The sequence below is a fragment of the Homo sapiens genome, chromosome 1, assembly GCF_000001405.40.
Source record: "Homo sapiens chromosome 1, GRCh38.p14 Primary Assembly".
Lineage (NCBI taxonomy): Eukaryota > Metazoa > Chordata > Mammalia > Primates > Hominidae > Homo > Homo sapiens.
Window position 1 is genome coordinate 19,348,083 of NC_000001.11, and position 25,218 is coordinate 19,373,300.

The following is a 25,218-nucleotide window of genomic DNA, read 5'->3' on the forward strand; positions in this document are numbered from 1 at the left end:
TTTAAGGTGCACAGATGACACTATTCCTTGTGCCCAGATAAGGGGCAGCATTCCCACCCCATCGCGTGATGAAGACACTGCAGCTGCCAGTTTCCATTGCTTGCTTGGGAAGGCAGTGGTTACCCTCTGTTCTGTCCTGGCCCAGCTACATCTGCAGGGCTGGATTCAGTTTAGGGCACTTTTTTTTTTTTAATTTTCTTTTAAAAGACAAGGAGGTCTTGCTATGTTGCCCAGGCTAGACAGGAACTCCTGCAATCCTCCCACACAGCTGTAACTACAGGTGTGTGCCACTGTACCCTGCTAAGGCACTGGGTTTTAAAAGCCTTGAATGAGTTAGCATTCATCTGCTTAAAAGGTCTGAACACCCTGACACCAAGAAATGGGAGAGAACTAGGGCTATCCAGGCCTGGCGGTGGTGGGTGGGGAGGGATGTGTGTGTGCTAGGGGAGACACAAGAGATTCTGGCAGGGCTCTGAAGGCCTGCTGTCTGCCAGGGGAACAGACCCAACCTATGTCGCTGTAGATGGCAGAGGGGGGACCGAGCAGTGAGAGAACATCACGGCTCACTGGGCTGGACTCGGTCTGTTCTGATAGAGCTGTCCCTGACAGGCATCTGCTCACAAAGCAATGTGGTCTGGGAGACCGACGGGTCTGAGAAAACGGGTGGCATCTGACAAGGGGGGGGGGCGGTCTAGGTGAGGGCAACAGTCCAGAACCTGCTGCCTCCCAAGTCATAACAGTAAATATCTGCAGAAAAAAGACATCTGGTTCTGGCAAGGCTGTTTTACTGAGGACTAGTGGAAAAGAGGGAGAGAAATGCTAGAAAGACCGGCTTCTCTGCTCCCATCTGTCTTGGCATGCTCTGGCAAGTCATCCTGAGGAATCTCGACCCTCAGACCCCAGGGGGTCTCCATAAAACAGGAGTAGTGAGAGTGCCCATGAGCTTGAGAGTCACAGTTCTCATTTCAGGTCTAATAAACACACCAACCTCGGCAGCACTGGAGCGTCTGCTGGAACATCATCTTTATCTGCCACTAGCAAAACCCTGGTGCCAAGACGACGGGGTGGGCTGTCTGCTCAACAGGAGCTGGGGAGCACCCTCAGGAGGGAGGGGGCTCCATCCACCCAGCTTCAAAAAGAACTTTTGCATGCTGGCCCCCGGGGACTGTGTGTTCTCCCAGACGTGAAGGTGGTTACTGTGCCTAGGCTCAGGGCTGGGTGGAGTCAGCTCGGCAGGCAGGGAAGCCTGGGGGTTGGATGGAAATGAATGAGGTCCTTCCAGCAAATCAGAGTCTCTCCTCCTCCCCGGCTCCATGTGGACGGCAGATTCCCGGCCACCCTAGGGAAGGGATGAGGGTTTTGAGCTCACTGTGGGCCCCATTTTAAATGGGCACCAACAGCCCAAAGAGAGGCCGCGGCCATCGGCAAAGGTCCTGGGTCACCTGGGCAAGTCCAGTCACATCAGCAATTTGGCCTCTTGGTTACCATCTTTGTGTTTCAGAATCAAGAGCCATCTTAAAACAAACAGGCGAAACCCCTTGGCCAACAAAGGTAGGAGAGGTCGGGTGGAGGAGAGGGCTGGGTCTTGCAGTGTGCGACACTGTCCCCAGGAGCAGACTGATCCCCTAGAACACAGGCCCCCTCAGCCCATGGCAGGGAAGCTGAGCCCACGTAAATGGCCACGCAGCGGCTGGGGAGGGAAGGAGAAAGGTGCTTGGGGAGTGAGGGGCACAGGGCTCGGTGCACCCGGCCGTATTTCCACAGCCCCCTTGCCCGCCCCTGCTCACTCCCCTCCACACCTGGTCAGGGTCGGCTCGGTGGCAATACCAACCCACCAAAAACAGAACCATTTGTGCACTGCATATATTATTACATCCTTATAAAAGTGGCTGCCGGAAGGAAAACATTTTCATGTGTTGTGGCTGCAGATGTTCCACGAGGTGGTTCCAATGGCGTCTGAAGCCGGAGCCTGGCCCGTGTGTCCCCAGCAGGCGCCTCTCCTCCTCCCCATGGCCCTAACACAGGCAAGTGTTTGGAAGCTGGCAGCCTTTCCCCCAGAGGGGATGTATTACACCTCCCACTGCCACGTGGCATCTTCTAGCGCGACCCGCAGGGCGTGGCCCTAAGGCATGGGCCCCACTCACCGGCGCTGAGGCCCCGCAGCTCCTGTGCTGCAGCCCGAGAGGAAAGGGCCTGGGCTTGTCTAGGCCTCCATGTCTTTGCCTTCACCTCGCACTAAATAAACAAATGTACACAAAAGGCCTAGAGCGGGACTTGCCAGAATGGCAGCTCTCACCGATTGTCAAAGCACAGCTCCATCCCCAGCACTCTTCTGGCCTCTGGCATCCTCCTGGTCACCACACTGTGCTGTGGGTTGGAGGTCAGGACCCGGCGTGCAGCCAGGCCAGAAGATGGTGGTCAGACGGCTTCCCAGGGAAAGTTACGGTTGCCCAGTTTAGGAAAATTTTGAATCTAGAATTGTACATATTCAAAAAGCCTCTCCTTGCAAGATATATGGTAGTAGCAGTAATTGTTTTTATTTTTATTTTTGAGACAGGGTCTGGCTGTGTTGCCCAGGCTGGAGCACAGTGTTGTCACCACGGCTCACTGCAACCTCGGCCTCCCAGGTTCAGGCCATCCTCCCACCTCAGCCTCCTGAATAGCTGGGACTACAGGCACACTGCTGCCTCACCTGGCTAATTTTTGTATTTTTTGTAGAGAGATGGGGTCTTACTTTGTTGCCCAGGCTGGTCTCAAACTCTCGAGCTCAAGTGATCTGCCTGCCTTGGCCTCCCAGTGTTGGGATTACAGGCATGAGCCATCGCGCCTGGCAAAAGTTATTATTTATTGAGCATAAAACTGTGTGTAAAACAGTTTTTTGTTTCTACTCTACAATGATCTTTCCTTTTTTTTTTTTTGAGATGGAGTCTTGCTCTGTCGCCCAGGCTGGAGTGCAATGGCGCGATCTTGGCTCACTGCAACCTCTGCCTCCCGGGTTCAAGTGATTCTCCTGCCTCAGCCTCCTGAGTAGCTGAGATTACAGGTGCATGCCACCACACCCAGCTGATTTTTGTATTTTTAGTACAGATGGGGTTTCACCGTGTTGGTCAGGCTGATCTCGAACTCCTGACCTCGTGATCCACCTGCCTTGGCCTCCCAAAGTGCTGGGATTACAGGCATGAGCCACTGCACCCGATCTTTCCATTTTTTTTTTTTAATAAAATTTGTTTATTATGTTTTTTAGAGACAGGGTCTTGCTCTGCTGCCCAGGCTGGAATGCAATGGTGCAATCATAGCTCACTATAACCTCAAACTCCTGGGCTCAAGTGATCCTCCCATCTCAGACTCCCAAGAAGCTAGGACCACAGATGCCACCCTACCCAGATAACTTTTTGTTTTGTTGGGAGGGGTGAAGGGGTGGGGGGCAGTGCAACTGTTGCCCAGGTTGGTCTTGAACCCCTGGCCAAACAATCTTCTTGCCTCAGCCTCTCAAAGTGCTGGAACTATTATCTTTCAAAATGGGCATTATCAACACTGAGTTTCAAAGAGGTGGAGGTCTGTCTAGGTCACACAGCTGGAAAGTTCCTGAGCTAGGATCTGAATCAAGGTCTGGGTGATTCTGAAACCTGCTTCCTTTTATGAGATCTCTCTGCTGGCTCAATTTCACATACATCCTTTACCAGAAAACTGAAGGACAAACCACAATCCAGGGCTCAGAAAACCTGAGCAGGGTCCATCCCTGCCTCAGCCGCCTCCTGCCAGGGATCTCCGGTCCCTTCGTCTCCTGTTTCCGCCCTTCACAGCACGGGATGGTTGTGGGGAGCCTGTCTCAGGCCAGCTTTCCTTCTCAGCCAGGCACTGGTCACTCCACCCCAGGTCATCTGGCAAAAACCCAGACGCCCCTTGAAGCTGCGCTGCTCAAGCATCTCCACCCCTGAACCCAGGCAACCCCACAGGACACGAGGAGCGGGTGTGCAGCTGCAGCCAGGCCTCCCCAGCGAGCGTGCACTCCTGGAACTGCCAAGCTGGGCCCGGCCCACCCTCTGTTCCCTGCATCTGGAAGGGCAATGGGCTTCTTCCCTGTGACAAAAATATACTGCCTGGCCTAACTGCCAAACGCAAGTCAAAGAGGATGTTCCTGCTAGGATACACAGGCAAGTGCCTCTACTGGGGATTTACTGCCTGAAGATATATTGGGGGTGTCTCTGCTGAGTGGGGAGAGACTGCTCACTAGCCAATGACCTGCCTGATCTCCCCACTCAACAAAACATTCCACCTTCATTTCTAAATATTTAGAAGCTGAGAAAATATCAAACGAACATCTGCAGGGCCCTTCCCCGGATGGGAAACCTTGGATCTCTTTCCAGAGATTTACAATCTCGCCTCTTTCCCACGTCTCTGCTGTCACATAGGAGAAGTGACCTCTCAGTACAACTTCCTTTTCAACATTTTGGAACTTGGGGCTTGCAACCTTTTTTCGCTTGCTCTACAACCCTCCCATGGGGGGCCACGTGGCAGTGTACCAGAGGGTACCTTCTGCCCGCCTTTCCTCACACACATCCACAAGCCTGGGCAGGAAGGTATGATCCGGCCGGCCTGCGGCTCACCTTCACTCCGACAGCCTCACTGCTGCGGGAATTTGCCAGAATACTTTAGCTGTTTACCTTGTCTTCCAGTTGACGTCCCTGAGAAACATCTTTTGGTGGTTGGAGGTGGGAGAAGTAAAAGCCGAAAATGATGGAGGCAGGGCTAGGTGGAGGCAGCATCGCCTGGTCTGGCTGTGTTCTGGCTGGCTGGCAGGCCACGTGCCCAGGAGAGTGGCGCTCTGCCCCGGCCACTGGCCTACCACCAGCCGCCTACACTGGGGCACGAGTGGGCACAGGGCATAGCCTGATGTGCCCACGGAAGGGACCCCTGCGAGGTGCCAGCAAGCCAAAGCTGGCGGCCTTCTCCAGATGGGCCGTGGGAAACAGGAAGACAAGGGTGCGCCCGGGGCCACACACAGGGAAGGGCAGCTGCCGCTGCTGCCGGGGTGAGGCAGGCTGGGCCACAGGACCCTGGGAAAGCTGAGGACCCATGGGGCCTTGCTGAGGGTGCTGATGCTGGCTGGGATGGCTCTTGGGGCTAGGGCCTGGCACTGTGGGCCTGGGGAGACAGCTCCAAAACCAAGCAGCCTTCCTTCCTGACACACGTGGGGCAAGGGCATGTGAGCGTGGGTGACCTGGATGAGGCCAGGTTTCCAGAGGAAAAACCCAGGCCCAGGTTGCTGTAAGGACTGTGTAAGGAGGAACTCGAGTGAGGGGCTCTCATCTGACCCCCACCTCACATCTTGGTCGTCCAGCCCCTGACCACGCCACGCCAGAATGCCCCCCAGCCTGCCCCTCTTCCCCTGCCCTTCTGTTTCTGCCCTTGCCACCTCATGCCTCAGACTGACACTAGCTTCTTCACTGACCTCTCTGCTGCAGGGCTGTCCCCTCTGACCCTCCCAGGGCTGCCTGATCCAGGCCCTTGTCATCTCTCTCCTTGATGACTGTAACAGCTTCCCCCTGACCACCCATCCCCCAAGCCGACTGGCAGAGCCACCTTCTGAAAACACAGATCCAATCAGATCATTGGACTCCCTAGAAACCTCAAAGCCCTCCTGACAGCCTCTAGTAGTGAACACACCCCAGTGGCCAAGTGGCTTCCAGCAGGAGATCATCCTGAAAGACAAAGGCACACCTGCGGGAGGGGCCCAGAGGGCAGCGCTGCTCAGCACACACCTGGGGAGCCTTGACGCCGTGTGCGGCTCTGCAGGGTTGATCCTGCTTGCGGGGCCTGCTTGCTCCTGAGGCTACAGGTCCACTGCAGCTGCTCATGCCGGCTGCTGAGACAGAGTCCTGTCTACACTGAGCTGACTGCTCCATGCACTTCCATCTGACTATTTAGCAGTCACCGAATGGCAGGCACAGAGGACGAATTAAGACCAAAACAGTTGTGGCATGGTAGAAAGTAGCATATTTTTTTCTCACCAGGCAAATCTGGGTTCACATCCCAGCTTTGCTTCTTACTGGTTAAATTATATGGGCAAATTATTTAAGTTTGAACTTCAGTTTCCTCACCTGTTAAATGAGAATAACTTGACCTTGGTTACAATCTAATCCAAGGGGACAGCCTGCAAACCATGCATGTTCATGCTCACTGAGCTGCTCACTTCTCCCAGAACCCTTCGCCTCCCATCCAAACAAGCACAGGCGTTTTTCCAAGGCTCCTCTGGGACCCGTAGCCAAGCTCTGCAACCCTCACTTCCCCTGTTTGCTCAGAAGCTGTGCATCATTAACTTAGATTTGTCTACCTCATTGCAATCCCTCCCCCTTCTGTAGTTACTTACATTGGAACCCAGCCCCAGCTTTAATGCACCTCAAATGAATGATGTGGTGATCGGCCGTTAGAATGATGGCAGAGCATTAATTTCCTCATTAAAGCCCCCAGAGCAAAAGGCAACGCAAACAAAGTCCGAAGCCCTGGCCAAGGTGTGCTGAGGACAGGCACTCATCAGGCCTGGGTTTAGCTTGGCAGGAGACACTGCTCACGGCAAGCCGGAACCAGACTCTGGCCATGGGCTGACAGCTCTGATTTAAACTATTAGGAGGGCTGAGGATTAAATATTTGTCCAGGTCACTGTAAACCGGGTGGAATTATCAACAGCCTGGAGTGGTAAGTGATACAGGAAGCAGTCTCTGGATACAGATTCAGGATTTTCCACCCACTCCCCAGGTGGCAGGATGTGGGAGAGTCAGGCTGCAGGGGAGCTGGCTGCCTGGGGGTTTGGCTGTTCCTCCCTAGCCAATGGCCCCTGGAAGATAGGAGTCCACTTCCACGCAAAAAGGCTAAGTGCCCCCTGTGTGCACTAGTGAGTAGTCCTGGGATGGGACTGTGACATCCCTGCCCAGAGGCCAAAAAGAGGACCGCAACATCCCTTCTGGCCTCCAGCCCCTCTGACACAGGAGAGGCAGTGGAGCTTCTATAGGTGGAGGGAGGGTCCCAGGTATGACGGCTGACATTCACCTTGCGCCACTATTTTTTCAATGCATGTAGATGTTGTTGTAACTAGTAGAATGCAAATTCACTTAAAAGATTTACTACACTGGGCCGGGTGTGGTGGCTTATGCCTGTAATCCCAACACTTTGGGAGACCGAGGTGGGCGGATCACTTGAGGTCAGGAGTTCAAGACCAGCCTGGCCAACATGGTGAAATCCCATCTCTACTAAAAATACAAAAAATGAGCTGGGCGTGGTGGTGCACGCTTGTAATCCCAGCTACTCGGGAGGCTGAGGCAGGAGAATCGCTTGAACCCGGGAGGCAGAGATTGCAGTGAACCGAGATCACACCACTGTACTCCAGCTTGGGTGACAGAGCGAGACTCCGTCTCAAAAAAAAAAAAAAAAAATTTTACTGCATCGATCCTTTCGGTCATATTTTTTCTATCCACAGCTATTGAGAGCATAATTATCTTACCGAAAGAGATCTCTGATGTTAAAAGGAATTCTCACAGTGGACAGTCAGGGACTGCTGGAACTGAGAACGGAAGGGCATCCTTGCAGAAAGTGGCGCCCCGCTGAGGCTCTCAAGGCTGTGCCGTTTCTGCCAATACCGACTTCTCCGAAGGCAAAGAGGGGTCCTTGTGAAACCCAGTTGTGCTTGGTCTATGCTTTCTCTTCCCCCTTTACGCCAAGCATCTTGTGGCACTGCACTGGCACAGGTTTAAGGCCTTCTCTTGGGATGGGAATGTAAAGGGTCCTGAACATGGACCTTTATACAAGGTTCTTAAACCCACCCAGATGCTTATGGGAGCATCTAAGGTAGAAGGGCGGGCAAGTTTGCTCAGGGGAGGCAGTACCTTCCAGTCCAAGTCCAAGTTTGCCTTAGACAGAACCTGGGAACAACATCGTGGAGAAGGGTTGCTAGTGATACCCAAACAAAAGATGGATAAGAGAGAGGTATCCAGTAGGGCACTTCTGAAATTTCAATGTGCACACATTACCTGGGCAATTTTGTGAAAACAGAGATCCTGATATGCTAGGTCTGGGTGGGACCTGATATTTCTGCCTTTCTGACAAGCTCTTTGGTGATGCTGATGCTGGTCCTTGGACTACTCTGAGGGCAGCAAGGTGCAGACACTCTGAGCTCAGGTAAGCTGCTCCCAGAGAGCTGGCCTGACTGATGGGCTGGGCATGGCCACAGAGACGGCAAACAGGGCCAAGCACCACTTCTCACAGCACAACATGAGCTGAAGCATGGGGATGTGCGGGGCCCTGAGGGGTAAGGAGGAGCCACAGCCAGCACCCGGCCTCCCTCAGCAGGAGGCCAGCAGAGTGCCAGCAGCTGTGGGCAACCTTGCACAGCCCAGAGAGCTTTTATTTGAAAATGCAAAGCCCTACTTAGATGGTGGATTTATAGCTGGCTGAACATGCTTACCCTAAATGGGGCACCTGCTCACTCATCTCTGCAGGTCAGCACTGAGGCCAGCACCTGTGGGCACTGGCAAGTGGCTATGAGCGGGTAACTCTACCTGTCTGGTAAGGCTGCCTCCGAGGTTCATGGTGCCAGAGCCAGATTTGTTGGTCTGCAGCCACAGCATCACCGTGGAGGTCAACTTGTAATGGGCGGTGCGACCGCTGGATTTCTCCTGGAAGGACAAGACAGAGATCTGTTGAGCTGAGGGAGAGCCTGAAGTGGCCCCTGGAATTCAGGGTCATCCTAACATCTCCCTTCCTAGGTCATTATCACAATATTACCTTTTTTTTTTTTAAATTGGAGACAAAGTCTCGCTCTGTCACCCAGGCTGGAGTGCAGTGGTGCGATCTCAAGTCACTGCAGCCTCCACCTCCCAGGTTCAAGCGATTCTCCTGCCTCAGCCTCCCAAGTAGCTGGGATTATGGGCGCCCGCCACCACGCCTGGCTAATGTTTTTTGTGTTTTTGGTAGAGATGCGGTTTCGCCATATTGGCCAGGCTGGTCTTGAACTCCTGACCTCCGGTGATCTGCCCACCTCAGCCTCCCAAACTGCTGGGATTACAGGCCCGAGCCACCGTACCTGGCCTCACAATATTGTCTTTCTTAAAAAATCTCAACTGGTTTTTAAAGGGACATTTGTAATTATGTATTTCTTCTGGGAACTTAATCATCAATGACTACTGCAGACTTATCTTTATCCAAATGGCTTTGAGGCATTTCTCAGAATTAGGGGTTCAGAGATCACAGCATCCCCCTACTGCATCTGTTAGAGAGCAGCGCGGCACTGGTTGGTGTGCCATCTGTACTTAGTGGCCCGGGCCACCAGCTGCTGGGAGGCAGTACCTGCACTTCTACCACGTGGATGGAATCCCAGCAGCCTTTGATCTTCTTTGATCCATCTCCAGCCTTCTTTATGAGGATCACTCCAGCAAAGCCATGATCCAGATCCCAGAGGTAGACAGATGAGACGCCACCTTCAAAATACCTGCAGGAAACAGGCCAATGTGCCTGTTAGATGCTAAAGGACAGATCATCAGCCTGGGTCCCAGGCTGCTGCTCAGCAAAGATTCTGGGATTCAGGGCCCTCCCTGCGACAGTTATGGGAGCCGATCCTTGGGTGTGTTCTGATCGTTCTGTGGCTGGGGGAGGGGGTGCAGCATTCCTGGGGGTGTAGTAGGTTTAGGCGTCATAAAGATGAATCTGAGGTTGGACTCTGCCACCTCCTCTATCTGTGTGGTCTTTGGCTTACTGAACCTCTCTGGGCGTCACACTCCTCCCAGATAAAGAATGCAGCACGACTGACATCCAGTGACAATCCATGCAGGCCATGACTACTGGAGTCACCACGGTTGTTCGATATTTCTGTCTTTTGGGATATTTTACAGGGCAGATGAGAAAATACAGCAACAAACTCCCTACACCCTGATCCCTCCTGAGCCTGGCAGACCAGGGCTCCAGTTGGTCTTTCGGAGCAACCTCCTACAAAGCGCTAGCCGGAAATGAAGGGCTCAGCTTGAGACAGTGCTTCCTCCTCAAATCCGACGCAATGCAAAAACATCTTTTCTTTTTTTCTGTTTTTGAGATGAAGCCTCACCATCTCCCAGGCTGGAGTGCAGTGGCACCATCTCGGCTCACTGCAACCTCCGCCTCCCAGGTTCAAACGATTCTCCTGCCTCAACCTCCTGAGTAGCTGGGATCACAGGTGTGCACCACTGCACTTGGCTAATTTCTGTATTTTTAGTAGAGATGGGGTTTTGCCATGTTGGCCAGGCTGGTCTCAAAACCCTGACCTCAAGTGATCCACCCGCCTCAGCCTCCCAAAGTGCTGGGATTACAGGCATGAGCCACTGCGCCTGGCCCAGAAACATTTCTAATTATAATCAAATGGAAGAGGGATTTCTAATTACGATCAAATGGAAGAGGGAACGAAAAGGTTAGATGAGAAATGGGAATCAGTCTGGGATCCCAAACCCAACAGACCCAGGTCAACTACTGTGGCTCACTGGGACTGCCGTGAGCAGAGGTGAGGGGTGGAGTCAGCTGATGGGAACCGCAAATGCTGTTGATAACCAACAAAAACTATGCGAAATCTCATTTCTTGTGGCGAAAGTCTGTAGCCTCTCCGACCCCAATTAAGCCCCAAAGAGAGAAATCTCATCTCTCGTGGTGAGCACATCTTTATCAGAAAGTCTGGGGCCTCTCTGACACCTATTAAGCCCCAAAGCCACGGTGTGGCAGGTGCATTCTGGGAGCACCCTGCCCTCAGCCCTGGACAGCTGGGAAGGTGGGCCGCAGAGTGCACTGGGTGGGTACAGGCTTGGGAGTCAGACAGACCCAATGACAGCTCTAGCACGCCCAGCTATGAGTTATGCTCATGCATGCATGCGTCCAACAACTATTTACTAAGGGACCAGCGGTGTGAATATGGGCCTCAGGGACTTAATCTACTTTCTACGGCTGTTGAGAGACAAAAACAATTAGGAAAAGTAGACACCTGCCAAACGGTTAATGTAAAATTAAGTACTAGAAATTAACATGTATCTGTAGATTATGTCTCACCAAAGCTATTATATAACAAAAAATACACATTTACAGAATGTGGGTGATGGGTATACAAGAATTCTCTGTACTCTTTTTTTTTTTTTTTTTTTTTTGCAATTTTACAGTAAGTCATACCATTCCAAACTAAAAAGCTTTTGTGAAAAATCAGTACACGAATACACCGGAGTGTAATGTAACTAAGAGACCACCAGACCAAGAAAGCAAGGCATCCTCCCAGGAGAATGAGGGTGCCCTGGCTGGTCTGCCCTCACTCCAACCCGCAGACCTGCGGAGCATCCAGGGGGCCGATACTCAGGTGGGCTACCCTTGGCCCCCTGCCCAGGGCTCCCTCAGGCAGGCTGCGGCCAGCCCCTGCGGCAGGACCACATCCTGTCCCATTCCCCTCTCCGGCACTACCCACTATGATTAAGCTCTCAAACCGAGTACACCATGGTGTGTCCACGGGTGAGTCTACAGGAGGGCAGATGAGGGCAGGGCTGTCTGGCTAACCAAGTGTCACTCAGGGAACACCTGTCGGATGGAGGTGTCAGGTGTCAGATGCTGAGCCCATCGCTGGTCAAACTGCGCAGGGTGGGGAAGGGTCTGGCTCTGGCCAGGTGCAGCACAGGCATCCTTTCCTACGAGAGGAAAAGGACCACTGGATGAACAGACACACCTGTGAGGCCCAGAGCTCACTGCTGGCAGAGGTGATGTCCAGGAAACCGGCCAACACTGGCACTCAGAGATCCCACTCCAGAAGATCATTTCCTTTATTCCGGTCTGCTCCAAAGTCCCCATTCTTGGGGCGAGGCGAGGTAAGCAGATGAGTGTTTTGGTCCAGGGCCCAAAACCCCATCTGCCTCCATAGAGCCCTCCTGGTCTGGACCGGGCCCACACAGAGTTGGAGAGATCAGGCCATTCTGCAATGTTCCTGGAACACCTGGAGAGGGATGGACTGCCCCTGCTGGACCTGAGGGTTAGCAGGGCTCAGATGACTGGCAGCATGGGCTCCGTGAGCCTTTCTGGCTTGTTCTCCTGGATTCTTGCAAGTTAACTTACGAGGCACATCAATACTACCAACGGAAGAGCAACTCATAACAGACCTGCTAATACCCTTCCTGTTGGCAACAGATGGCTTGGTTCTAGCACACCGTTTTCCCTTTCAGTCGGCTTACAGGGAGAGCAGCCCCACATCAAAAGAGGGGGAAGAAAAACAAACAAAAAAACCCTACTTTGCTGGCAAAAAGGATGGGCCAATAATCCGTTCTTTCCTTCAGCCCTTCTGGAAAGAAGGCTTGCAGCCCAGGGGCATTTCATCCTTCCACTCCTTCACAGATCCATGCAGAGCTGCGGTGCTGTGCCTGCCCAAGGCTTGCTCTCCTCTGTGTGCTGGGACACTGGGGAGATGCAGGTCAGGATGCCCTGGAGGGGAACCAGGAGAAATCCCGATGGCCTGACAGCCCTTGTCGACACCCTCCGGTGACCAGTTCAAAAGCACCAGGTGGCCCACGGCTGCTTCCCCTCAGTCCCATCCCTGAGCGTTTCATTTCTTCCAGAAAAATAAAACAACCGCATTAAAGTTTTATAGGGTGGAACTGGCCGTTTCCACTCCAATGTCCCACCCTGTGGCCTGGCTCCCACTACGGGCAGCTTCTCCTTGGCGGGCCACGGTGACCAGGTCTAAAGTTTCAAATGCTGGAGCCAGGGGAGGTAAAAATGCAAGCTCAATTGTCACTCCTTGTGGGGTTACTATTCTTTTACCCACAATTTTAAAACTTACTGCAGGAACATTATTGTTTTTTAAAAAAGGAAATCTGAAAATTAGCCCACAATGCCATAAATCAACTTATCCCATAAATCTGATTTTTCCAAATTCCCTTCCAGTCCAGATGCATGACTTTTATATAACTGTAAGCACAGCAAGAGTACCATGCTGAATTTGGCTTTTTACACTTGGCACAGAATCATTAGCATTTTTCCATGGAGCCGCATGATCTCCATAATCATTTTTAACAGCAAGGATAGTATTCAGTCGGGTAGTATCCTAATTTACCATCAATCTGACTTTTAATAAAGAAACAACGGCGACAGAGTTAGAGGCGGCGTGGTCAATCTCTCACTTCGAATCTGTTCCCTCTCTGAATCGGGGTGTTCCAACTGAGGTGAGTCAGACGTGCTGAGACCTGGCCTCTGCAGGTACAGCTCAAACACTACAATAATTCAAGAATGGACTTGCATTCCATTCACCAAAAGGGATCTCCAGGGACTGGAGCAGCCACAAGTCTCAACCTGACATTCCGAGACAAAGGGAGCAGAGGACTGCATGGTTAGAAAGGCCTGTTTCAGAATTGCCCAGAAGCACCAGCCTCTCCTGCGAGTGCCATCAGGGCGCTCCGGCACCTTCAGGAGGGAGGTGACTGCAGGGCGCACAGACAGCGCCCCCGCTACATGGTTTATGGCTTTGCTCTGCGCGTGAAGCATTAATTAAAGGGGGACCACAACACGTTTTTGAAAATTTATTTCTTACCTACTGTACTTTGATCATAATGATATGAAACAAGGAAAAAATAATTTTTATGTGGTTTGCATTTATGAGTTTTTACATAAAGGCTTTTGTGGGTATTTTAAGAATGTGCTAAAACGTTGTCTGAAACCACATAAAGCCATCTGAGGAGTCGCCCGCCAGAATTAACAGCACATACATGGAAGCAGTTTAACTGGTCTTTGTATATTTAATGAGTCAAATAGTATTAATATTGTTTAAATGCTAACATGCTATTTCAATAAGGTGGCTCTACCATCGCCAGCGACTCACTCTCAGGCCTTGTACTTCCATGTGAGTGAATGATCAAATGTGGCCAAGCGCTGAGAGCAGGCTGCAGAGGAATTAATCCGCCCTGCCCTGGCCCCTGCCCATGCCTGATAATTTCAAAATCTCCCAACTCTGCAGGGAGGGAGGAATGGGCCCAGGACTCACTACCACAGCTCAGCTGATTTGGGCTCAAGAGGAAAATCCCAGAGAGTCCCTGCAGTGAGGTCTCTGGTCAAGGAGGTAGAAGGGGGAAATTTTTATTATATTTTTTTGAGACAGAGTCTCTCTGTCGCCCAGGCTGGAGTGCTTTATTTTATTTTTTTGAGACAGAGTCTCGCTCTGTCGCCCAGGCTGGAGTGCAGTGGCATGACCTCAGCTCACTGCGACCTCCACTTCCCGGGTTCAAGTGATTCTCCTGCTTCAGCTTCCCAAGTAGCTGGGATTCCAGGGGTCTGCCAACATGCCTGGATAATTATTGTATTTTTAGTAGAGACTGGGTCTCACCATGTTGCCCAGGCTGGTCTCTAACTCCTGGCCTCGGTCTCCACTCAGTGTTGGGATTACAGGCGTGAGCCACCACGTCTGGTCAAGAACCTCTTTTAAACATGCAGGCCTAGGACCAGGCGCAGTGGCTCACACCTGTAATCCTAGCACTTTGGGAGGCTGAGGTGGGAGGACTGCTTGAGCCCAGGAGTTCGAGGCCAGCCTCTATAAAAAAAAGAAAAAAGAAAGAAAAAAAAAACCGTGGAGGCCCAAAGAGAAATGCATGAGCTTTTCCTAGGCTTCTTTCCTAAATGGAAAGCCAGACAGCACGGGCAGCACAGGGCTGAAATCAATCCCCACAGTCAAGAGGCTGAATGACATGCTCAAATCAGAGCTCCCCAGTGGCCAGGACAACACAGGGACTAGCTTGCAAAGACTGCAGAGAAGTCAACTTGGACAAGTGTTGAACCATGAAGTGGGGGGGCCTCAGAAGCTCCAGGAAGATGAGGAGGGGGTGAAATGACAGACCAACTTGGGAATGACTGGGAGCAAAGTGCTGGAGTCACCTGTTTGCTTGCGTCCACTGAAGAGCTAACTCTTTCAACTGAGTGCCATCAGTTTTACCAACGGTCCCGGCGCCTTTTAAGACTTTCCTAACACAGATTAACATCTTGTTTTGTTTTTTGAGACAGGGTCTTGCTTTGATGCCCAGGCTGGAGTGTGGTGGTGCGATCACCGCTCACTGCAGCCTCGACTTCCTGGGTTCAAGTGATCCTCCTTCCCCAGCCTCCCAAGCAGCTGGGACCACAGGCATGCACCACCATGCATGGCTAATTAAAAAAAAAATTTTTTTTTTTTTTTTTTTAGAGACAGGGTCTTGCTATGTTGCCCAGGCTGGTCTCAAGCCGTTTATCAGCACAGCCAATTACAATTAAACATCTGGTTGGGTTTTTGTCTATCGTCACCTTGGTCCCTAAACGTGGATCAGCTAAAAGCCTAATGTGTCAGTAATTCTCTTCTTCTCAGAGTTTTAGGTCGTTTCTCCCTGAAAATCACTCTTCCAGTTGAATAATGTCATAGTCACGGATATAGATTCTATGTCCGTAACTTTTCAACCACAGGACTTCTGGGGGGAAGGAGAAAAAAGGGAAAACATAATACTTCACACTCAAAATGACCTAATTCACAAAAGTAAAAAGAAAAGAAAATGTTTCAGCTCCAAAAGCTTTATGGAGTGTCTGAAGCTGAGGTGTGCGTGGGGTGGAAACGTGCTCGGGGAATCTGAGCTGTAACTATGAATGACCCAATTCCCAGGCCTGGCCAACACGGGGCTGCAAATCTAACAGGGAAAACGGGAGGGGAAGAAGGGGCTTTGAAGCTGCTCTTTACTCCTTCCTTTCACATCACCTCCTGGGAGAAGAGCTGGATTCGTGGCTCGAATACAAAGGCTCCCAACAGATAATGAGTACATGCCACATGCCACAAGAACCAAGGCCAGGACAGACCTGCTGGGAGCAGGGCTTTCCAGCATGAGCCAAGAAACAGACTCTGTGGTTCTAGGGTTCACTGAGACATGTCCTTCTGGCTATTAGTGGGCTGGGCCACACTCACAGGACTTGGACCTCTGGCCTGAGATACCTGTGACGCTGAGGCACAGGCAGCAGCCAAGTTAGGGGCATTATTAAGGTGAGCTCCATAGGTGCTGGAACAGGGCTTTCTCTTGCAGTCAACTTCACTGAATAAAGCCAAGGGAAAGGCAATATTTGGCACCAACACAGTGCAAAAGACTTTTTTCTTATTTGTAAAATCAAAGAGCTGGATCAGAGGCCAGCGTAGAGGGTCCTCCCAGTTCTGACATTCCAGGATTTGGTGGTTGCATCAGGGCCTGTATGAGGCAGACTGAGCACCACAGGGCAGGTTCCTAACATCTTAGTCTCTGTCAAACTGCTGCTTACACACCTCCAGTGACAGTGAACTCATTACATTCCTGAGGCAAACATTTCTGTTCTGAACAACTGAGACAGTTCTCTCTGGACTTGAGTGAAGACTTCTCACTACTGCCTTCCAGAATCACAAAAAAACAAGGACTTCATGCCCTTTCCTTGCATAGTCCTTTCAAACATTTAAAACTGGCTTACACCAAGATTTCTCTTTTCTGGCCTTCTCCTCCTTGTAATTCCTCATACGACTCAATACCTTGTTTATCCTTCTGAACATACTCCAGCTTGTCAATGTCCTTCATAAAAGAACAGAAAACAATGCCCCAACTAAGTGTTAACCAATGCATAGCAGGGACCAGCACATCTCTTGGCAAACAGGCTACTCCTCCCTCCAGCACTCAAGACCAAATTAGCTTTCATTAGCAATCACACCTAATCCATGCTACACATACTGAACTTGCAGTCATCTCAAATGGAGTATTTTTTCTTTTTTTTTTTCTCTCTTTTTTTGAGACAGGGTCTCGTTCTCTTGCCCAGGTTGGAGTGCAATGGCATGACCATGGCTCATTGCAGCCTCGACATTCTGGGCTCAAGTGATCCTCCCACCTCAGCCTCCTGAGTAGCTGGGACTACAGGTGCATGCCACCACACCTGGGTAATTTTAAATTTTTTTGTAGAGACAGGGTCTCGCTATGCTCAGGCAGGTCTTGAACTCCTGGGCTCAAGTAATCTTCCCACCTCGGCCTCCCAAAGTGCTGGGATTATAGGCATAAGTCACCGTGTACAGCTGAATATTTTTTCTTATGTGTTGCCATGAAAATACCTCTCACATCCTGGACTTGAGAACTTGGTAGACTGGACCCAAGAATATCACTTTCCACTCAAATCTGTGACAGATCACTCTCGTAGACATGGCTTCAACATTTCAACGTCTCTTTTGGGATCCCGAAGCTGTTGTGATCTGTATTCTATCCAAGCCACTCTTCCCCCGAAGTCTTTATGCACAGGAATATACGTGAAAGCAGGAGACTGTGCAAATGAGGATGTCACTGAGTTCCAGATCGCGTGGATTTCCAGAAAGAGCACGGGCAGCCCTAGTGAAGGCTTCTGTGGAGAAACTGATGGTCCACCAGGAAGGAGGGCTCTGGTCTGGGCACTTTTTTCATGTTGGAGTCAGTATAAAGATGGAAACCAGGCCGGGCATGGTGGCTCACGCCTGTAATCCCAGCATTTAGGGAGGCCGAGACGGGCAGATCACCTGAGGTCAGGAGTTCGAGACCAGCCTGACCCACATGGAGAAGCCCCGTCTCTATTAAAAAAACACACAAAATTAGTCGGGCGTGGTGGTGCATGCCTGTAATCCCAGCGACTTGGGAGGCTGAGGCAGGAGAATCGCTTGAACCCGGGAGGCAGAGGTTGCGGTGAGCCGAGATCATGCCATTGCACTCCAGCCTGAGTAACAAGAGTGAAACTCCGTCTCAAAAAGAAAAAAAGAAAAAGAAAAGATGGAAACGCCCACAGCCTTGATGAGGCAGAAGTAGAAGGGAACACAGGAGGTGGGGCTGGCTGGAATGCCGGCTGAAGAGCTCAGGCTAAAAAATTTGAAGTGTTGATGTAACTGAAAAAAGCAGAATTCCTCTATGATCTGGTGCTAAGCTAGGAACCTGGGCCCTCAAACAGCTCCAACATGTAAGATTCCACGAGTCTTTCTTCTCCTACCCTATGTTCTCCCGTCACATGTATGGTGTGTTCTGCTTCTGGGATCTCACCAAGGAGTAGCAGCAAGACTTGGGACAAATAAGTGGTCTTAGGTCAGGCATGGTGGCTCACGCCTATAATCCCAGCACTTTGGGAGGCCAAGGTGGGGGGATCACTTGACTCCAGGAGTTCAAGACCAGCCTGGGCAACATAGTGAGACCGTGTCTTAAAATATATATATATATATATATATATATAAATAAAATAAATGGTCATGAGGGACACTTTTTGCTGTACTGGTGCTTGGTCATGACAAAGACAAGGTCATACAGGCATGAGTTCAAACAAACTCCTGGCCGGGTGCGGTGGCTCATGCCTATAATCCCGGCACTTTGGGAAGCCGAGGCCGGCAGATCACCTGAGGTCAGGAGTTCGAAACCAGCCTGGCCAGCATGGTGAATCCCATTTCTACTAAAAATACAAAAATTAGCCAGGCATGGTGGCAGGTGCTTGTAATCCCAGTTACTCAGGAGGCTGAGACAGGAGAATTGCTTGAACCCGGGAGGCAGAGGTTATAGTGCCTTGAGATGGCGCCACTGCACTCCAGCCTGAGCAAAAAGAGCGAGACTCCATCTCAAAAGAAACAACAACAACAAACAAACAGAAACTCCCAAGCTCCATGACTGATTTTATGGCAAAGAGGAAGAGAATAAAACCCAGAGGCAGAGCCATTCCCCGGCAGCTGAGGTTCTGGCCCTAAAACAATGCCTTTTTGTTCCCTCCTAGGGTAAAAAAGAAACTAAAATCCCCAGCTATCAGCAGTAGTTTGTTTTTCTGATCATCCTTAACATCCTTACAACAAAACAGGCACCTGGTCTTCACAGGTGGGAACAATCCAACTCCACCTCAGGAAAAAGAGAAAACTGTCCATTCTGCTCAGAGGGGCATCCAAAACCTGGCTCCCTTCCTCGTGGTGTAGACCAACGTTCCTTTTTGCTCTGCTGGCTGCCATCTAGCCAACTTCAAAAAGAAGCTGAGCGCATCCCCTGTCCAATGGATGGGCGTGGGTGCTGCCCAGTGGGCACAATGTTGCAAAGTCCAGAGAGCTGCAGACGGCACACGAGGGGCTGGAGAGTGTGGGTTCTCTTCCTTACACTGGTTATACCAGCCTGCACTCAAGATGCATCTGGCAAACAAGCATGAGGAGATATAAGGAAGATCACAAGAAAAAAATGAACGGGCAAGCACTTGCCATGGCACCTGGCAGAGCAAGCACTCAACAAGTGGTGGCTGCTGGTTTTCATCAGGCTCTTACTTTCTGAACAGAGGGGAGGAGAAGGCAACCTCGACGTGTTGTGAGCTGCCCTGGAAGTGTCCGTCAGAAACACAAAGTGCCGCTTACTGGGAGCGGTTCCGTACCCACTGGCACAGGCTCCACACAAAATGGAGAAAGATCAATGCTTGGCTTTGGGCGGGCCATGTCCAGAGCTGATGCTGAAACTCAACCACCCTTGTTTGTGTGTTGAGACCAGCTGTTTTCACCATGGTTTAGGGAACACGGCCCAGAGGCTGCCCATGGACACGGGACAGGTATTCAGCGGAAATTCCTTCCAGTACACACAGGTGCAACAATCCCCCGAGTCAACATACCAATCAGCTTAGGCATGTGCGACTTTAATGCCAGCTGCACTTAGAAGGCACATCTGGACTGTGGCTGCCGCGCTTTAGTGTCTCGCTTTTACGAGGCTTTTATTTTTTTACTTAAAGAAATAATGAAGGCCTCTCTGGAAACAATGGTGCCGCTGCAGGGGCCGGCTATCTGGCTCTGGGATCTGGTTTTGGGATCTGGCCAAACTGTCCACACTTGGCACCACTGCGACTGTCTTCTGCCCTCTGGACTACTTGTGAAAACACTGCTGGCCCCATGGAGCTACCTCATGAGCCGTCAACAGTCAGGGCTTTCTGGGCTTCCAAGTCATCACTCTCATCCAAAGCTGCCATTGTTGAGAACTCATTCTGTGTCAGGGGCTTTGCATATCTTTTTTTTACAGTTAAGAAAACTGTAACCCAGAGAGATAAGGAACGTGCCCAAGTCACAGGCTGAGAAGCAGGGATCTGGGAGTAGATGTCAGGCTTGGCTGGCCCCAGTGCCCATATTCTGCCCCATGCCAGGCTGCCTGGCCATCCTGAGACGTGCCAGCTGTGGTGGGATGGAGCGCAGGCGGACAGAACAGGGTCAGCCAGTAGGTTAGATGCCCGTATGAAGCCACACCACTGAACACACAGCTGCCCCAAAGAGGAGAAAGTCAGGCCAAGTGCAGTGGCTCATGCCTGTAATCCCCAGCACTTTGGGAGGCCAAGATGGGAGGATCACTTGAGGCCAGGAGTTTGAGACCAGCCTGGGCAACAGAGTGAGAGCCCCCGTCTCCATTTTTTTTCTTGGAAAAAAAAAAAAAAAAAAACGGTGGAGAGAGTCCGAGTTAAAAAAGGAACCCGCTGGGTGACCAGGAATCCGGGACATGCCCCGAGCACCCTGTACTGGGGATTTTGGAGGGTTCTCTGCCTCACTGAGGCAGCTGGGGCTGCTGGCTGGGTCACTGCAAGAATGCCTTTTTTTTTTTTTTTTTTAATTAGACATGGGGTCTCTCTCTGTCACCCAGGCAGAAGTGTGGTGGTGGGACCATAGTTCACTGCAGCCTCCACCTTCTGGGCTCAAGTGATGCTCCCACCTCAGCCCCCAGACACTGAGATTACAGGTGTGAGCCACTGTGCCCCACCGCACCTATTCTTGATACTTGCACAAAGCAGTTTTCCATCACAGAAGCCTCGGAAACATCTCAGTGAGGGGAGTGCAGGGTCTCTGGCAGGATGGGGGAGCTTGACCAAGGGAGGGAGCTGGTCCCTGCTTCCAGCAGCAGAGTTTCACTCCAACATGTGCAACGGCCCAAACCAAAGAGTGACTGTGTGCCATCTGGTTAGAGGAACCCAAGAATTCTAGAGGCATCAGAGTCCCTGATGCTGACGTGGGGATCATGTTCATAAGCAAACTTGTTTTCTGCACACTCCTGTTTTCCATTTAACTTTCTTTCAGCAGATGAAAATCAGACTGCACATGCCAAGCAACCAGACACTGGCCTGCAGCCTTGGGATGCCAGATGAAAGGGAACCCCAGGACAGGGGGCAACATGCAAGCCTGTCTAGATCCACTCTTTAGGGACTTGATAACTGTAGCAGACACCCCCACTAGGAGCAGTGGTCACGAAAGAGCTGAAACGCACTGCGAGAGCAGGAAGCAGGCTCAGCTGTACCCCTCCAAAGCTGTGAGGTTTCTCCAGACCTTTCTCTCTGCTCTGTGAAAACAACACAATAGAGGTGGGCTTGGGTTTCCCCATTAAGTGCTTCTGGCACTTTCTCACAAGCCCCAGGCAGTGGCAAGCCGGTGTCCCACAGCAGGCAGGGCGGGTTCTCAGAGGCCCTGTGCGCACATGGCTGAAGACACAAACATGTTCAAACCCAAGTGCTAATTACACTGTGGACATGCCAGAAGCCAGAGACGGCCTGGCTCCACCCTGCTGTCCCGAGTGCAAGATGAGTGGCAAGCGGTGCCCGTCACGGGATCCCTCTGGAGGCCTTTACATCTGGGGAAAGGTCCTACCTCTAGGCAAGGAAATGAGAACACAGACCTCGCTGAAGGGACAGGGAGTGAAGGGGGATGTCCCCAACCAAACCGTCCCTGCAGCTCCAGGATGTTCTTAAGCATTCTCCGTTACTCCCCTTACTCTGCCCACCTCCCAGTGGGGCTCTGAGTCCGCAGGCCTGGCCGTTTCCAGCGGTGGAAAAAGCCCCCGGGGCACCTGGAACTGCAGAGTTCACTCAGCCAGAGCAAAGGAAGCAGCCCTCCACTCTAGCTGAGCTGTCAGGCCCTTCCTGCTCCTGGCCTCTCCAATCCAGCCTCCACACTACTTCCGAGGAACTTCTTTGGATGCACATCAGAGCTGTCCTACCCTTGGAACCTTCCAGACCTTTCCCAAGGCTCCCAGAATGACACCCAGAGCCCGCACCCCACAGGCCTGTGCGCCTCTCCCCACTGCCCTGTCCTGTTCCGGCCTCCACTCACTGCCCACGACCACTGGGAATCCCTTCAGGGCGTGGCCCAGGCGGTTCCCACTGCTCAGGGCACTGTCCTTGTCCTCTCCCATCACAGTACAGGGCTGTGCCCGGGATCCCCAGACCACCCGAGGCTCCATAATTCGCTACAAGGACTCACGGAATGTGGCACAAAGTTGCCCTCGGGGCCAAGGGTTATTGAAGGGAACAGAGCAAAGGAGGCTGAGGGAGAAGGCGCTGGGGCTGGGGTCCTGAGAAACCAGGCACCAGCTTTCAACGTCCTGCTCCATGACGTCACACAGGACGTGATACACTCCCCCAGGGATGGGCTTGACGGCATGTGTGAAGTACTGTCTACTGGTGAAGCAAGCCAGGGACTCAGTGCCCAGGGCTGTACTACTAAGCACCCTCTACCTAGCACATGGTGAAATTTCAGATGCCCACAAGGAAAGGAGAAGGAAGGCCACACTGTTTGCACACAGTTCAGACGTCGGAAGTCACTCTTATCAGGGAGTGGTAAGAGCCCTCCTGAAACCCAAGTTCCCAGCTGCCAGCCGCGGGCCAAGCTGGCAAGCATGCCTCCGAGGGACAGCAGTCTCAGGCCAGCTCTGTTAGCCCTTTCCACTCAAGGGCAACCCCCCTGTAACCGACCCACAGTTCCTTCCTCAGAGCCTTCCCTAACATCCACACCCTTTGCTCTTCCCCACCGCAGGACCCAGCTCTCATTCCTTTGCAGCGTTTATCAAACTGTGCAAGTACTGTGTTCATCTGCTGACTTGTTCCTGTGTTGAAACATGGGCCCCATGAGGGAGGGACTGGGCCTGACACATTTGCCACTGACCCTGGGCACATGACACCATCCCCGGCAGGTTCTCATTAAGGACCTGGTGACCGATCCCAAGGATTCTCTCTCCAGTCACTGCAGACGGGCACTACCAGCATCTCTGTTCAGCCTCACTACACCCTGATGATGTGGATTGAGCAGGAATCATTAATTCCATTTTTGAGACAGAGATTTCCTGGAGGCCTTGCTGTGGGAGGTGGTGGAAGAGCCCCATCCCGAAACTACGGCCTTCTCGCATGATCACGAAGCCTGCTACCCCATCAGGTCCGCCACCCAAATGGTCCCGTATCTGTGATCATAAACGCACAGAATGTAAGATGCAGGTACAGAATGTAAGATGCACGTACAGATACCTGCTGCACAATTAGAAGAGCCCTGTCACCCAGCAGCCTGGAAGGTGCTGGCTGGACGCAAGGCGTGAGTGCAGCAGGGGTCTGACGCACAGTGTGTCACTGAGTGACGCCTCAGCCCACAGCATGGGTAAGGAAACGGAGGCTCAGAGAGGTTAACTCACTCGCCCAGTCAGTCAGCAAGAAAAGACAAAGAGAGAATCCAGTCCAAAGCTCTTTAAAGCCAAGGTCCTCTCCATTCCGTGGCTGGGCCTCAGACGCCATGGGTGAGGGTCAGAGGCTTTTGGTGGGAGGTGGTGGTGCCTTCTGCCTGGGAAGCCCCCCAGCACCTCAGCTGCCCGCTCACACTTCTGCACTCTTTCCCTGGAAAATCTCCCCCTACCGCCTGCAGTTCCTCCACACTCACGTCCCGAGGAAGGGGTGCCCTGAGGGGTCTGGGGCTGGGAACCTGCAGTTTCAAGGACCCCGGAAATCAGGTGCAAACATTTCTCACATGTGAACATGGACATCCTGCCCTTCCTGGGCCAATGTTCCTCAAACATCAAATGGCGGGAAGGAGCAGGAACAACTGCAGTTCTGAAATGGCCCAGAGAGGGGACAGGTGCTGGGGAGCCCAGGCCGGGGGGTGGGGCCCATCCACCCAGCTCCTGGCTGCTCCACTCCTGGAGAGGCCCTTGGGCCCTGGGACTGCCATGAGGACGCCAGCCTTGTTTCACTCTATAAACTTCTTCCAGACAAGGAGGGCTGATTGGAAAAGCTAATTAAAGCTTTTGAAGATTATCTCAGAACTGAAGCAAGGAAGAACACAAAATACCCTCCCACCCTGCTCCTCCACTCCCCAGACTCTGGCCTTCATTAGGCTTTGATTTCAATCAATTGCACACCCACTAAAATTAACTTATAAGGCCAATAAATTGCAACCGCATGTTTGAAGGTATTATCTGCTCCAAGCCAAGAGCCAAGGACTTCAGAGCATTGGGCGAGATGTCTGGCGCAGATGGGAGTAATCATCTTTGGAAGAAGGCAGTGCCAGCCCTTTGGTCAGAACATCTGGTCCCAGGCAGAACCCGGGGCCGACACAGGCCAGGGCCAGACTTGATGTGAAAGCTGGAGCAGGGAAGGTTTCCTATCTTCTCCAGGAACCTGAAAAATCAAAGTGTTAATCTTGGGGTTCATGGCAGCCCACTGGTCGCTCACACCAGCAAGATGTTCCTCTGACAGCTGCTGGTGCCTGACCTACAGCAAAGTCTCCACTTCTAAGTCTCTCCCAAGAAAGATCACTTAGGTCAAAAGATGAGGTTTTGTGACTGATGAGCTAGCCTAGGCTTGGACCTAAGAAAGCAGAGTCGGCTCTGCTGAGAAAGAGTGTCAAATGATCCTCCGAGCCAGCTGCCCAGGAGTCGGCCCGCTCGGCTGTCTTCCCCTCTGCCTCAGTGCTCAGTTCTCGTGACATCCCCTGGATGAGTCAGGCCCATCAATTACAGGCAGAAAACCATCTTGGGGCTTGGTAGAGAGAATAGCCTAGATGTTGGGGACCAGGTGGGTGGGCTGGCTGGGAGGGGAAGTGATGAAAATGAAGGTGACTTGCGAGCAGATAATACCCTCACCTGGCCCCAGCACACCAGCAAAATGTGCTTGTCATCTCCTAAGCATTTGCGCAAACTGGCTCTTTTCATCTAAAAACAAGGCTGTTTGGGTAGTGACAGTTACTCTCCTAGGGAAAGTACTACTATGATCTCTTTCTGCCCCTGAGGATGGCAGAGAAGGGAATCATCAGCATGGAAGGGACCTGGACGTGAGAATGCCGCAGGGACCCAGCAGAGGCAGGGCAAGCCAGGAGCTAGTGGACTTCAGAGGGAGCCGTGAGGACACACGGCTCAGCCCCCTGCACCCCTACTCGCCTTTTGCCCACCTTAAGGAGTCACGCTCCCAACTGCTAGCCCTTTC

The 25,218-nt window shown here is 51.9% G+C and overlaps 1 protein-coding gene across 9 annotated transcripts in view, besides 7 other annotated features; it reads right to left on the minus strand.

Annotated features, from left to right (window-relative positions):
* The window catches only part of CAPZB (capping actin protein of muscle Z-line subunit beta), a 146,765-nt gene that overhangs the window by 9,308 nt on the left and 112,239 nt on the right, over positions 1 to 25,218 (minus strand). For all 9 annotated transcript variants that reach the window (NM_004930.5, NM_001206540.3, NM_001206541.3 and 6 more), the window contains 2 exons: positions 9,340 to 9,481; positions 8,553 to 8,669 (listed from right to left, as the gene is read on the minus strand). In NM_004930.5, coding sequence (NP_004921.1) covers positions 8,553 to 8,669; positions 9,340 to 9,481 — 259 coding nt within the window. The remainder of the gene's footprint in view (positions 1 to 8,552; positions 8,670 to 9,339; positions 9,482 to 25,218) is intronic.
* Positions 5,161 to 5,845: an enhancer, noted in NCBI's record as "OCT4-NANOG-H3K27ac-H3K4me1 hESC enhancer chr1:19679737-19680421 (GRCh37/hg19 assembly coordinates)". NCBI's record gives its function as "activates a minimal SCP1, AML or CMV promoter by ChIP-STARR-seq in primed H9 embryonic stem cells {active_cell/tissue: H9 hESC(primed)}" and the evidence as "EXISTENCE:reporter gene assay evidence [ECO:0000049][PMID:30033119]".
* Positions 7,920 to 8,420: an enhancer, noted in NCBI's record as "H3K4me1 hESC enhancer chr1:19682496-19682996 (GRCh37/hg19 assembly coordinates)". NCBI's record gives its function as "activates a minimal SCP1, AML or CMV promoter by ChIP-STARR-seq in naive and primed H9 embryonic stem cells {active_cell/tissue: H9 hESC(naive and primed)}" and the evidence as "EXISTENCE:reporter gene assay evidence [ECO:0000049][PMID:30033119]".
* Positions 8,421 to 8,921: an enhancer, noted in NCBI's record as "H3K4me1 hESC enhancer chr1:19682997-19683497 (GRCh37/hg19 assembly coordinates)". NCBI's record gives its function as "activates a minimal SCP1, AML or CMV promoter by ChIP-STARR-seq in primed H9 embryonic stem cells {active_cell/tissue: H9 hESC(primed)}" and the evidence as "EXISTENCE:reporter gene assay evidence [ECO:0000049][PMID:30033119]".
* Positions 9,345 to 9,514: an enhancer, noted in NCBI's record as "experimental_1531 CRE fragment used in MPRA reporter constructs". NCBI's record gives its function as "activates a minimal promoter by MPRAs in K562 erythroleukemia cells, with activity observed for both the introgressed and non-introgressed 1:19684006 variant alleles {active_cell/tissue: K562}" and the evidence as "EXISTENCE:reporter gene assay evidence [ECO:0000049][PMID:34662402]".
* Positions 10,886 to 11,386: an enhancer, noted in NCBI's record as "H3K4me1 hESC enhancer chr1:19685462-19685962 (GRCh37/hg19 assembly coordinates)". NCBI's record gives its function as "activates a minimal SCP1, AML or CMV promoter by ChIP-STARR-seq in primed H9 embryonic stem cells {active_cell/tissue: H9 hESC(primed)}" and the evidence as "EXISTENCE:reporter gene assay evidence [ECO:0000049][PMID:30033119]".
* Positions 21,965 to 22,657: an enhancer, noted in NCBI's record as "H3K27ac-H3K4me1 hESC enhancer chr1:19696541-19697233 (GRCh37/hg19 assembly coordinates)". NCBI's record gives its function as "activates a minimal SCP1, AML or CMV promoter by ChIP-STARR-seq in primed H9 embryonic stem cells {active_cell/tissue: H9 hESC(primed)}" and the evidence as "EXISTENCE:reporter gene assay evidence [ECO:0000049][PMID:30033119]".
* Positions 23,557 to 23,726: an enhancer, noted in NCBI's record as "experimental_1534 CRE fragment used in MPRA reporter constructs". NCBI's record gives its function as "activates a minimal promoter by MPRAs in K562 erythroleukemia cells, with activity observed for both the introgressed and non-introgressed 1:19698218 variant alleles {active_cell/tissue: K562}" and the evidence as "EXISTENCE:reporter gene assay evidence [ECO:0000049][PMID:34662402]".